The sequence below is a fragment of the Homo sapiens genome, chromosome 17 (assembly GCF_000001405.40).
Source record: "Homo sapiens chromosome 17, GRCh38.p14 Primary Assembly".
NCBI lineage: Eukaryota > Metazoa > Chordata > Mammalia > Primates > Hominidae > Homo > Homo sapiens.
Genome location: NC_000017.11, coordinates 81,589,929 through 81,602,323, shown reverse-complemented (window position 1 = coordinate 81,602,323; position 12,395 = coordinate 81,589,929). Strand labels below are relative to the sequence as shown.

Sequence of the window (12,395 nt, the reverse complement as noted above, 5' to 3'; positions counted from 1 at the left end):
CCTACTGCCTTGGCCTCCTAAAGTACTAGAATTACCAGCATAAGCCATTGTGCTTGGCAAAAGTTTGTTTTTTGTTTGTTTGTTTGTTTGTTTTGTTTTGTTTTGAAACAAGGTCTCGCTCCTGAGCGAGATCCTCTTACCTCTTTCTCCCAAGTAGCTGGGACTATCGGTGTATGCCACTGAGCCTGGCTAGTTTTGTTTTTTTTGTATGTGACATTTTTAGTGTAAGCACATACACACACGCATGCATGCACGCACATTCATACTATCCCCCTTCTTTGTTTCTTTGTACGTATAATATGTGCACTTTTTCCACCTAACACTGTCTTGTGGAGATCACCGGATGGCTAGCCTCCTATTTAGATAACCTGCCTGGGAGGCAGGCTGGGGTGCCCTGCAGCTGCTTTCAGAGTTTGCTGATCAGAGTCTGAAACTGCAGGCTATGCATGGGTAACAGCTGGTGTACAGGCTTGCTAGTGGCCCCTGCACAAATGTGTGTCTTTCTTGGCTGTATTTATACGGATTTTCAGTGACATTTTTGGTATCTTTGTATAGCAATAGATGTAGTGTTTCATGAGGCCTTTGCCATGGTTCTTTTAAAAAGAGACACTAGATGGCAGTAGAGACCCCGCCAGTGAAGTCTCAACCCTTAGGTCACTGTGCTGTACTCAGGATGCTGCTTTTCGAAGCACACAGTATTCAGATTCAGTTTTTTTAAAGGGTCTCTTTCATGGAGAGCTCAACGGTTCTATTAAAAGTATAATTGAGGCCAGCCGTGGTGGCTCACATCTATAATCCCAGCACTTTGTAGGGGCAAGGCAGATCACTTGAGGCCAGGAGTTCAAGACTAGCCTGGCTGACATGGCAAAACCCCGTTTCTACTAAAAATACACACACAAAAATTTGCTTATGCAGCTTATGCTGCCACATGTCATTAAACAACTCCTTTTCCTTAGCTTTTTCTCTGAGTTTGTGATTTAACCTACGTTCTGGAGGTATTAATGACCTCCATATGGGTAATACCCAGCAAACGTAAACTTCTTTGTGGTTTGCCAGATTTTCACTAATTTACAAGGATATGCCCAGTTACTGTAACTCAATTTGAGATTACCTTTACCTTTCCTATTCTTATGGCTGGGGTTTCTGCATAGAATGATACCTTTGAATGACCCGCAAGCTACATTTAAGTGAACATTAATGATTTCGGTAAGCTTGGTCCACTCTGGGAAGTGATGTGCTGTGGTTGGTTTCAGTTGCATGGGAGCCAGTCGAAGCTACAACTCATCGACTGCCCTGTGCCAGATGAAAGGAGGTGGTTGATTTTTGAACACCTTTTCCCTTCCTTAGGGTTGGTGAGCTCATCGCTCTCTGTGGAGTTCATAGTGTCCCTGTAACTGAGTATCTTAGCTGTGAAGCCAAGCATTGTCTCTGCAGGAGTGGCACACAGATTTTCCAAGGCTGTTTTGTGGGAATGGATGTTACCTTACAGTTTGAGTCTTGCCTAATTTAGCCAAACCTGTTTGGAGTGAAGCTACTTATCCAAGGAAGTTTGAAAGTAACTTAATTCCCTGATGAAGGAACTTTTAAAACAGGCAGAGTGTGTAGACCTTGCCTTGCCTTAGTCCTGAGTGCTCCTGATGCAGAGCTGTGCAGCACACATCAGCTGGGCCCTGCATGCCACATGTTTTGCAGCCCTGGTAAAAGGTGCAGCACAACCCGAGAAGGAGAGAAGCCGGGAGGCGTGTCGCATGTGTTTTATCTGTGGCTATAGTTCTCCTTTCTGACAAGGAGGCCCCCAGCACTCCTTGTGACCTAGAGCTGGAAGTGGAAGGGCTTGGGGTGCTGCTTCCTGAGCCCTCTGCTCTAAGTCCATCTTCTCCCTTTGATTCCCTGCAGATTGGTACACAGAACAGCTTGGAGCTTCTTGAGGATCCAAAAGCTGAAGTGGTCGATGAAATTGCTGCCAAACTTGGCCTGCGGAAGGTACTGAGGCATCCGGCAGCCAAGCAGGGGGCGTGGCCAGGCTCTGTTGGGCATCCAGGCCAGGGGGAGTTGGGAGAGTGGCCGGGCTGTGTCGGGTACTGGCTCTCTCCGGCTGCACAAGGTCAGGTGCAGGCACTATATGTTTTGAAACTTCACATATGTTTGTTGGGCACCAATAACCTTTATGTTCCTCTGACTTAAACTAAAATGAGAACATTTTCTTGAGCATAAAAAAAAAAAAATCCCAGTGCAGATCTGGCTGTTATATTTCAGCCTTCCAGCCACACTTCATGAGGACTGCTTCAAGTGGGAAACAGACCCCAGCCGCACCCCTGCTGGCTCCTCTGTGCATGTGTGTCCCTTCTGCCTGAGCTCTCCCTTCATGTAGCTTGGAAGCCGAGGACAGTCAAGGCTGACATTCCATTGACAGTGTTCATGTTCTGTGCCATGCACTTGGAGCTTCTGCTGCTCCGTCATCAATCATCATTTAATTTCCTGTTTATAATTTAGCTCTCTGAGCCTACAATTCTTCCTAGTTTCATGGAACAGTTAGAAGATGAGAAAAGGATTTCCTTTTTTATTCTATTGATCTGGTTTATCTGACATTGATACAGTTCCCAGGAACAATTTTAATAAATTAATGTAGAGCCATGAATTTGAACATATCTTACGAGTTTAATGTTAATAAGTATGTTTTATCCTTTATTTCCTAATCAACTCAGACCATGAAAAATAATCTCTAGATTATTTAATCTTCTCTACAGATGAAGCGGGTGAGACTGCAAATGTGACTTAAAACCTAGTAGTGTCAGTGAGCAGTCCACACAGTTTTACTGTCTTTAGGAAAGAAACATCCTGTTTCTAACAAGGAGTCAGCATCTTGATTTAGGGGCATATTTGGGTTCAAATTCTGGAAGTTCTCTTGTTTAAAAGAGATTGGTCCAATTTTTTGACCTAATTTGTTATAATCTTACAGTTCATAATCTTGAAATTACTTAAATAATTTTCTGCAAGACACAAGTTTCTCTTTTTATTTTATTTTATTTTTTTTTTTTGAGGAGTCTTGCTCTTTCACCCAGGCTGGAGTGCAGTGGCACGATCTTGGCTCACTGCAACCTCTGCCTCCCGGGTTCAAGTGATTCTCCTGCCTCAGCCTCCCAAGTAGCTGGGATTACAGGCACCCGCCACAACGCCCAGTTAATTTTTGTATTTTTAATAGAGACGATGTTTCACCATGTTGGCCAGGCTGGTCTTGAACTCTCGACCTCAGGTGATCCACCCGCCTTGGTCTCCCAAAGTTCTGGGATTATGGGCGTGAGCCACCGTGCCTGGCCTAAAATATGAGTTTCTAAGCCCTAATTTTTCTCAGTTTGATTTTGATTTTGCTTTATTTACTGCATAATTAACCCTTTAAGTTTCATTTTCTCTGTTGCCACCACCTTGGGTTTTTCATTCATTGGGGCATCTTTAAAGACAGTGAAAGTCTCCCAGTGGGCTAGTCATGTCTGCTGGGGGTGGATGGGAAGAGTTGTGTGTCAGGTAGTGCTGGAGAGGGTCATGGGCCGCAGATCCTTCCCGAGGACAGAAGTGACAATTGCCGGGACTCAACTGCTGCTCCTGTGGCCTCGTGACGGGCTTCTGGTGCAGGAATTCACAGGCAGAGGCGGGCCTAAGGATCACACAGCACACAGGCACTGCTACACTGAACGTGCAGGGGTTGCTGGGTCACAGGTTTCAGATCCTCATACCCTCAGATGCTTCCTTCCGGCCTTGAGGTGGAGCTCCCAGGAGCAGCTGTGTGAAGTCTGCATTATATTACCCCTTTTGTATTATGTGCCTTTCTCTAGGAATCCTTTTTCTTAGCTTGTCAGGAAAGACCTACTCTCTGAAATGTTTATTTGCTTGCTTGTTGTCTGTCTTCCTCTTGGGAGTTTAAGTGCCTTTTTCACTCACCTTCTGTTGGTCTCACTCACTGCTGTGTCTCTTGCACCCAGCATGGTGCTGGGCAGAGCTGGTGCTGAGGAAACTCATCTCTAACCCAGCAGCACCAGAGGGAGGGTGGCCAGTTTCTACTGAACAGAGATGGAGATCCCTGGGTGTGGCCTGGCATCTTACTTGAGGAACCTGTTGATGTAGATTCACCTGGCTCACAAAAAGGAGTTTCTGACTGAGAACATTCTTTTTAAGCTCTCTGGGCAGAAGCCAGAAAACATTCATCATCTATCTTTTTTTTTTTTTTTTTTTTTGAGACAGAGTCTTGCTCTGTGGGCCAGGCTGGAGTGCAGTGACGCAATCTCGGCTCACTGCAAGCTTCACCTCCCGGGTTCACACCATTCTCCTGCCTCAGCCTCCTGAGTAGCTGGGACTACAGGCACCCGCCACCACGCCCGGCTAATTTTTTTCTATTTTTAGTAGAGACGGGATTTCACCATGTTAGCCAGGATGGTCTTGATCTCCTGACCTCGTGATCCACCGTCTTGGCCTCCCGAAGTGTTGGAATTACAGGCGTGAGCCACCACACCCGGCCACGCCCAGCTAATTTTTTTTTTTTTTTTTTGAGATGGAGTTTCATTCTTGTTGCCCAGGCTGGAGTGCAATGGCGCGATCCTGGCACACTGCAACCTCTGCCTCCCGGGTTCAAGTGATTCTCCTGCCTCAGCCTCCTGAGTAGCTGGGATTACAGGCATGCGCCACCACCCCAACTAATTTTGTATTTTTAGTAGAGACAGGGTTTCTCCATGTTGGTCAGGCTGGTCTCGAACTCCCGACCTCGGGTGATCCACCCGCCTCGGCCTCCCAAAGTGCTGGGATTACAGGCGTGAGCCACCGCACCCGGCCTAATTTCTGTATTTTTAGTAGAGATGGGGTTTCACTGTATTGGCCAGGATGGTCTCGATCTCTTAACCTCGTGATTCTCCTGCCTCGGCCTCTCAAAGTGCTGTGATTATAGGCGTGAGTCACTGCGCCCAGCCATTCATCGTCTATCTTGAGGAGATGTTTAAAAGCTACTTTCCTTTTTTTAAGGTTGGCTGGATATTTACAGACCTCGTCTCAGAAGATACCCGAAAGGGTACCGTCCGCTACAGTCGAAATAAGGTGAGGTGGAGACAGGACTGTGCGTGTGGCCCTATGGCTTGGTTACAGATGGTGTTGGCCTGCATTATCAGGGTCTCTTTGCACCGCTGGTTCTAGCTTTCAGGCCCCATTATTTATTTATTTGTATTTTTTGAGACGGAGTCTTGCTCTTTTGCCCAGGCTGGAGTGCAGTGGCGCAATCTCTGCTCACCGCTAGCAATGCCTCCCGGGTTCACGCCATTCTCCTGCCTCAGCCTCAGGAGAAGCTGGGACTACAGGCGCCTGCCACCATGCCCAGCTAATTTTTTTGTATTTTTAATAGAGATGGGGTTTCACTGTGTTAGCCAGGATGGTCTTGATCTCGACCTTGTGATCTGCCTGCCTTGGCCTCCCAGAGTGCTGGGATTACAGGTGTGAGCCACCATGCCCAGCCCTCAGGCCCCATTATTTTTCAAGAAGTTCTTCTTGATCAATGAAGGCCGGATCTCTTGGTCTCATAGAGCTAAACCCATCTTACCTTTATAAAGCAGTGATTTTCAGGGCTCAGCCCATGGCGGGGTGGTTTGCATAGTGCTTCTGGCCTTTCTAGTCGTGAGTGGTTTTAGATGAGGAATTGGTAATGGTTAGGAATTGTAGATACTTGTTTCAAAGTGGTTTTGAGTTTTATAGTTTGGTTCTTATTTTTTATTTTTATTTTTTTGAGACAGAGTCTTGCTGTGTTGCACAGGTTGGAGTGCAATGGCACAATCTCGGCTCACTACAGCTTCCTCCTCCTGGGTTCAGGTGTGCACCACCATACCCAGATAATTTTTTTATTTTTAGTAGAGACCAGGTTTTGGTGTGTTGGCCAGGCTGGTCTCGAACTCTTGTCCTCAAGTGGACCTCCCGCCTCCACCTCTCAAAGTGCTGGAATTAGAGGTGTGAGTCACTGCTCCTGGCTTAGTTCTTATTTTTTAAAGAAGAAATAGAAGTATATTTTGGCATGATGCTGTAAAATTTGATAGGCTGCTTCTCTTGTCTTAGGACACCTATTTCCTAAGTTCAGAAGAGTGCATCACTGCAGGAGACTTCCAGAACAAGCATCCCAACATGTGCCGGCTCTCTCCAGACGGACATTTTGGATCCAAGTTTGTTACTGCAGTGGCTACAGGTATAACAGGGACAGTATGTACTGTAAATATTACCACCTCGTTAATATATTTTGTTCCTCTTTTTGGTAGCTTTTTATCCTTAACTTAGTTATACTGGACTTTCTTACTGGGCTTGTGGGATATAAATTCCTCCTTTCTTTTTATGGTAAAAATTCTGAACAACTTAACAGCATAAAACTATATAAACACAAACCCCAAAACTCATAACAGAATCAGGACCTCCACAGAGCTCTCCTCTAGGCCAGTGCTCTCATTAAAAGTCCACTTTTTTGGCCGGGCGTGGTGGCTCACGCCTGTAATCCCAGCACTTTGGGAGGCCCAGGTGAGTGGATCGCTTGAGGTCAGGAGTTCGAGATCAGCCTGGCCAACATAGCGAAACCCCATCTCTTTATAAATATAAAAATTAGCTGGGCATGGTGGTGGGCGCCTGTAATCCCAGCTACTCAAGGAGCTGAGGCAGGAGAATCACTTGAACCCATCAGGCGGAGGTTGCAGTGAGCTGAGTTTGTGCCAGTGCACTCCAGCCTGGGTGACAGGGTGAGCCTCTGTCTCAAAAAAAGAAAAGAAAAGAAAAAAAAAATATATATATATATGTATATGTATATATGGACAAGGATGTTCCCCTGGGCGACAGAGTGAAACTCCATCTCAAAAAAAAAAAGCAAAACGGGTTTTTTTTTTTTTTTTGACAGTCTTACTGTCATTTAGGCTGGAGTGCAGTGGCGCAATCTCGGCTCACTGCAACGTCCGCCTCCTGGGTTCAAGCGATTTTTGTGCCCCAGCCTTCAGAGTAGCTGGAATTGTAAGTGCACACCACCACGCCTGGCTAATTTTTGTATTTTTAGTAGCGACTGGGTTTTGCCTTGTTGGCCAGGCTAATCTTGAACTGACCTCAGGTGAGTCACCCTCATTGGCCTCTCAAAGTGCTGGGATTACAACATCTGTAATCATAGCATTTTGGGAGGTTGAGCCAGGAGGATCCCTTGAGACTGGGAGTTTGAGACCAGCCTGGGCAACATGGCAAGTCCCCATCTCTACAAAAATAAATAAATAAAACATTTGGAAAAAAAGAAAGAAAAGTGTTCAAGCTGACTGCGAAGTTTTTGCACTTTGCTGCATATTCTTGAGTTTGCCGGGTTTTTGTGTTTTTTTTTTTGTTTGTTCGTTTGTTTTGAGACATGTTCTTGCTCTGTCACCCAGGCTGGAGCACAGTGGTGCAGTCATAGCTCACTGGTGCGACTCCTGGGCTCATGTGATCCGACCCCAACAGCCTCCTATGTAGTTGGGACTACACGCGTGCGCCACCACGCCCAGTTAATTTTTAATTTTTTTTTTTTCCCTAGAGACGGAGTCTCGCTCTCGCCCAGGTTGGAGTGCAGTGGCGCGATCTCGGCTCCCTGCAGGTTCCACCTCCCGGGTTCACGCAATTCTCCTGCCTCAGCCTCCCGAGTAGCTGGGACTATAGGAGCCTGCCAGCATACCCGGCTAATTTTTTGTATTTTTAGTAGAGATGGGGTTTCACCATGCTAGCCAGGATGGTCTCGATCTCCTGACCTCGTGATCCGCCCACCTCGGCCTCCCAAGTGCTGGGATGACAGGCGTGAGCCACTGCGCCTGGCCTAATTTTTAAATTTTTAGTAGAAATGAAGTCTTGCTGTGTTGCCCAGCCTGCAGTTCCTTGATTTAAGGTGCATTTAGATTGATTTTTGAAATGAATATACTTTTTGAGGGTGATAGGCATCTTTCACACGTTAATTATGTTAATAATTAATACATGTTAACTATTTTACAAGTGAATTAGTTGAGTCAGTTTTTTTTTTTTTTTTTTTTTTTTTTTTTTGAGACGGAGTCTCGCTCTTTCGCCCAGGCTGGACTGCAGTGGCGCTGTCTTGGCTCACTGCAAGCTCCACCTCCCGGGTTCACGCCATTTTCCTGCCTCAGCCTCCCGAGTAGCTGGGACTACAGGTGCCCGCTACCATGCCCGGCTAATTTTTTTTGTATTTTTAGTAGAGACGGGGTTTCACCGTGTTAGCCAGGATGGTCTCGATCTCCTGACCTCGTGATCCGCCCGCCTCGGCCTTCCAAGGTGCTGGGATTACAGGCGTGAGCCACTGCGCCCGGCCGAGTCAGATTTATTTTCCTAAGTTGTTGCTTGGGTTGAGTGCTTAAGGGAAGGGTTGGGAATTTGGGCTAGGATTGAAGGAGGGTCTGGGAATTCTGCATTACAGAACCTGTTAGGGCACCCTGGGAAGGGTGCTGTCGTGGGGGACTCAGGGTAGCTGGAGAGCAGCTGGGGCATCAGGCAGTGGGCACTGGGCACCCAGGAGGGGAGCAGAGAACAAAGGCGCTCATGTCATTTAGAATTCTGCCTGGCCAGCGTTGTATTTAGAGACGGGGAGAAAAGTGTCGTCATACTCTTCTCGGTGTCACATCCCCACACCCCTGCCACATGTAGGCTGATATCTGGGTACAGTAGTGTAGGCTGGTAGTTTCCAAGCCTATCAGACTCAACTCCTGTTTTTAGAACACTTTGTGATACCCCTTTACTATGCAGAAATAAAATTCATGGGTAACATAGTTAATGTAGGCTGCCGACACACAGAATTCTGAAATGGAAGGCAGAGTAGTATCCTAACTGTAACATCAGGGGAAAGTGATAGGAAAGAAACAGAATAAAGTCATACGTTTAGGTGTGTCAGTGCTTCTGGACTGACTCGTGAGGACAGCACAGCAGGATCCGTACTGGCCTGTGTGGGCAAGGGCTGAGCACAGGGCTGGGTCCAGGCCTCTCAGCTGGCCTTGCCGTCAGCAACATGGCTTCCTGAGAGGCTCAGCAGCTCCCCACCCAGTTCCAAGCAGAAGAGTGTGCCCTTGCCTCAGCTTACACTATTGTAGTCCCAGAGAATTCAGTGTGCATTACAACTGTGCCTGTCTGTTTTGTGGCTATTTATAAAACAGAATTGCTTCTAATCTCATATCATTGTAAGTAGTGGTTTTTGCCTACACAAGTGTGTAGCGGGCATTCAGAGTCTTGTGGGATATGGAACAGTTCCACAGTATTTCAGTGTGGTTTTAATGACTATTTTATTCTGAGTGAAATCGAGGATCTTTTATTTTTATTTTTAATTTTTTTTGAGACAGTCTTGTTCTGTCACCCAGGCTGGAGTGCCATGGCACAATCTTGGCTCACTGCAACTTCTGCCTCCGGGTTCAAATGATTCTTGTGCCTCAGTCTCCCAAGTAGCTGGGATTACAGGCGCATGCCAACACACCCGGCCAATTTTTGTATTTTTTGTAGAGACGGGGTTTCACCATGTTGGCCAGGCTGGTCTCGAGCTTCTGGCCTCAAGTGATCCGCCTGTCTCGGCCTCAAAAAGTCCTGGGATTACAGGTGTGAGCCACTGTGCCCAGTCTAATTACTGTGTCTGTGGAGAAATTATTCCATGGGCCAGAAGAACTGGCACATTTTTAGAATTACAGTTTCTAACTTGGGGGCTACCACCTTGAATTTGAGTCATACCTCTTGTTGAGAGTTGAGAGATTATATAGATCATCCTTGGGCTTTTTTCACCTCTGGAATTGGTATTTACTGAAAGGTTTTAGAACTGAGAGATAATAAATAACCTAATTTATAAGCAGATAGGCAGTGACAGCCCCTTTGTGTCTGTGTGAATCACCCCTCTTGGTGCTCAGACTTGCCATGGTCTCCCTTTCCCGAGGGTGGTGGCCGACTGAGGAGTGCTTATCCTCATGCGTGCTTTTAATCACTACAGCTCGGATGAAGGTTTTCTAACTCAAGTAAAGTGTGCTCTTTCCCCTGTGTTAGGGTTTCTTGGTCACGGCCATGCGGGGACCCCATAGCGCTGTTGGAAATTGTACTTGTTGCATTCCCGTCCCACATCCCTCCTTAGACAGGAAGGTTCAGACTGAGCCATGTGGCATAGGGTGCGGGGCGCCCCTGCCGACAGCACTCAGGTCCTGGCTGGGATGCGGAGGCCTCGCCTCTCCCTCTGCATCTGTCCTTCCTCCCCTTTCCCCTTTCGTTGTACTCAGGTATTCTCTGGCATGAGGCTTCAGAGTATAAGAGCCCCAATGAAGTGTGCGCTTTGCTCGAGTGACCCTGAGGGTCCCTGTGGAAGGACAGTGCAGTGTAGAACTTACCCCACACACTGGGCTGGGCATCTGTGTCCTCATAGTCTAGCATACTCTACATTTACGGGCTGTTAAAATTACTTGCTGGGGATCTGGTTAAAAAACCAGAAATGCATTCAGATTCAATAGCAGCTGAAGTTTTGCTGTCACTGCCTCTTTGTAGGCCCTGTGATCCTTCCCACGTAGGGATTTCCTGACTGACTGATTTGTGAAGGGAATGATAGTTAACTTGTCCTGCCAGCCATTCCGGCAGGGTTACACAAACCCATCAGGACATGTATGTCCTGCTGCTGCATGTGGAAAGGGGAGTTTGCAGTTCATCTCAGTGAATTTACCCTTGAAGATTATCCATATGGCCAATTTTGCTGTTTATAAACAGCCTTCAGTTTTATAAATAACTGCTTTCCATTTTTCTCTTATTCTCAACTGCTAGATTTTTCTTTCTTGAATGACCTATCGTGTTAATGACCAGTCTAAACACCAGAGCAGGTTTTTTTTTTTTTTTTTTTTTTTTTCTGTTTTACTCCAGAGATGGAGTCTTGCTCCATTGCCCGGGCTGGAGTGCAGTGGTATGATCTCAGCTCATCGCAGCCTCTGCTACCTGGGGTCAAGCGATTCTCCTGCCTCTGCCTCCTGAGTAGCTGGGATTACAGGTGCACGCCACCATGCCCAGTTAATTTTTATATTTTTAGTAGAGACAGGGTTTCACCATGTTTTCCAGGCTGGTCTTGAACTCCTGACCTCAGGTGATCTGCCTGCCTCGGCCTCCCAAAGTGCTGGAATTACAGGCGTGAACCACTGCGCCAAGCCCAGTCCAGGTTTTCATGGTGTCCTAACCAGATGTCTGCACCGTGGCTCCCCGGCGCTCTGTCCAGCCTTTGCCTCTGCTCCCTCTGAGCCCTGCATTCTTTCAGTGTCATTTATGCCACCAAGCACATGGGCAAGTGAGGTGCCTGTATCTTTGCTGAGATATTAGTGGTCATTTGTGCAGGGTTGGCTGCCTCCTGAGCATTTGAGTTTGGGGCAGGGAGAAAATCCTATGCTGGTGAACTGTGCCTTTGGAGCGAGTTTGACCCAGGGTTTTGAAGCCAGCCATCACTTGCCTCCTATGTGTGTTGAGAGCTTCATGGCGGCCAGCTCTATCTCCTCCCTCACCTTTTTTGATTGTGTGGCCGTCAGGTTTGCTTTCTGATGCATGTTTGACAGCCATGTGCACTACGTTTCTGTTTTCTGATCATAAGTGATTCTTTTTGTCAAAGAAACTGAAATAGAGGTATTGAGGGTTTTTTTTCATCCAAAACTATAACAAATGTTGAGGGCTGGGCACAGTGGCTCACACCTGTAATTCCAGCTCTTTGGGAAGCTGAGGCAGGAGGATCACATGGGGCCAGGAGTTAGAGACCAGCCTGGGTAACATAGTAAGACCTTACTTCTAAAACAATAAATAAATACCTAAAAAATAATGAGATTGTAGTCAGCACATAACTTCAGTTCTGGAAGCACACTTCTGCAGCGGTGGGCATCTCCCCCATGCCTGCCTCCTCCAAAGGCTCAGGCTGCCCCCATGGCATCATCTGCCCAGCTCACTTCAGGGATCTGGTCTAACTGGACCACACTGCCGCCTCTCAGCCATGATCTGTAGTTCTCCTGTCCCCACATGAAGTCATTCTGGAGGCTTCGATGGAGTGGAGACTGGGAGAGAAGGATGGGGTGGGCAGTGTGGAGGGTGAAACCATGGAGGAGCTGGGCTCCCAGGTCTGCCCACGGCCGTGGAGTGGCACCTGCACCTCCACACTGTGTGATGACGCCTGGTGGCATTAACTCTGTGTGGCGGCCGTGTAGGTTTCTGGAAGACAGAGGCTGCTGTGTATACAATACCATGACTGGATTTGTATTAAAAATAGTTTCCGTCTTGCTCTTCTCCCACCCGCTTCCCCATCTCTCTGCCTCCAGATGAATTTATCCTCCCATCCTTACCGTGAGCCTAGGGATCTATCTGCCGTTTACACCCCTGGTGTTATTATGAACCAGGAG

General features: G+C 47.1%; 1 protein-coding gene across 9 annotated transcripts in view, besides 2 other annotated features; it reads left to right on the top strand.

Moving 5' to 3' along the window:
- Window positions 1–12,395, top strand: part of NPLOC4 (NPL4 homolog, ubiquitin recognition factor) — an 80,228-nt gene that overhangs the window by 34,789 nt on the left and 33,044 nt on the right. For all 9 annotated transcript variants that reach the window (XM_011524980.2, XM_047436368.1, NM_017921.4 and 6 more), the window contains 3 exons: window positions 1,897–1,983; window positions 5,008–5,079; window positions 6,082–6,208. In XM_011524980.2, coding sequence (XP_011523282.1) covers window positions 1,897–1,983; window positions 5,008–5,079; window positions 6,082–6,208 — 286 coding nt within the window. The remainder of the gene's footprint in view (window positions 1–1,896; window positions 1,984–5,007; window positions 5,080–6,081; window positions 6,209–12,395) is intronic.
- Window positions 739–898: an enhancer, noted in NCBI's record as "active region_12974". NCBI's record gives its function as "activates an Ori minimal core promoter by ATAC-STARR-seq in GM12878 lymphoblastoid cells {active_cell/tissue: GM12878}" and the evidence as "EXISTENCE:reporter gene assay evidence [ECO:0000049][PMID:35858748]".
- Window positions 3,786–3,905: an enhancer, noted in NCBI's record as "active region_12973". NCBI's record gives its function as "activates an Ori minimal core promoter by ATAC-STARR-seq in GM12878 lymphoblastoid cells {active_cell/tissue: GM12878}" and the evidence as "EXISTENCE:reporter gene assay evidence [ECO:0000049][PMID:35858748]".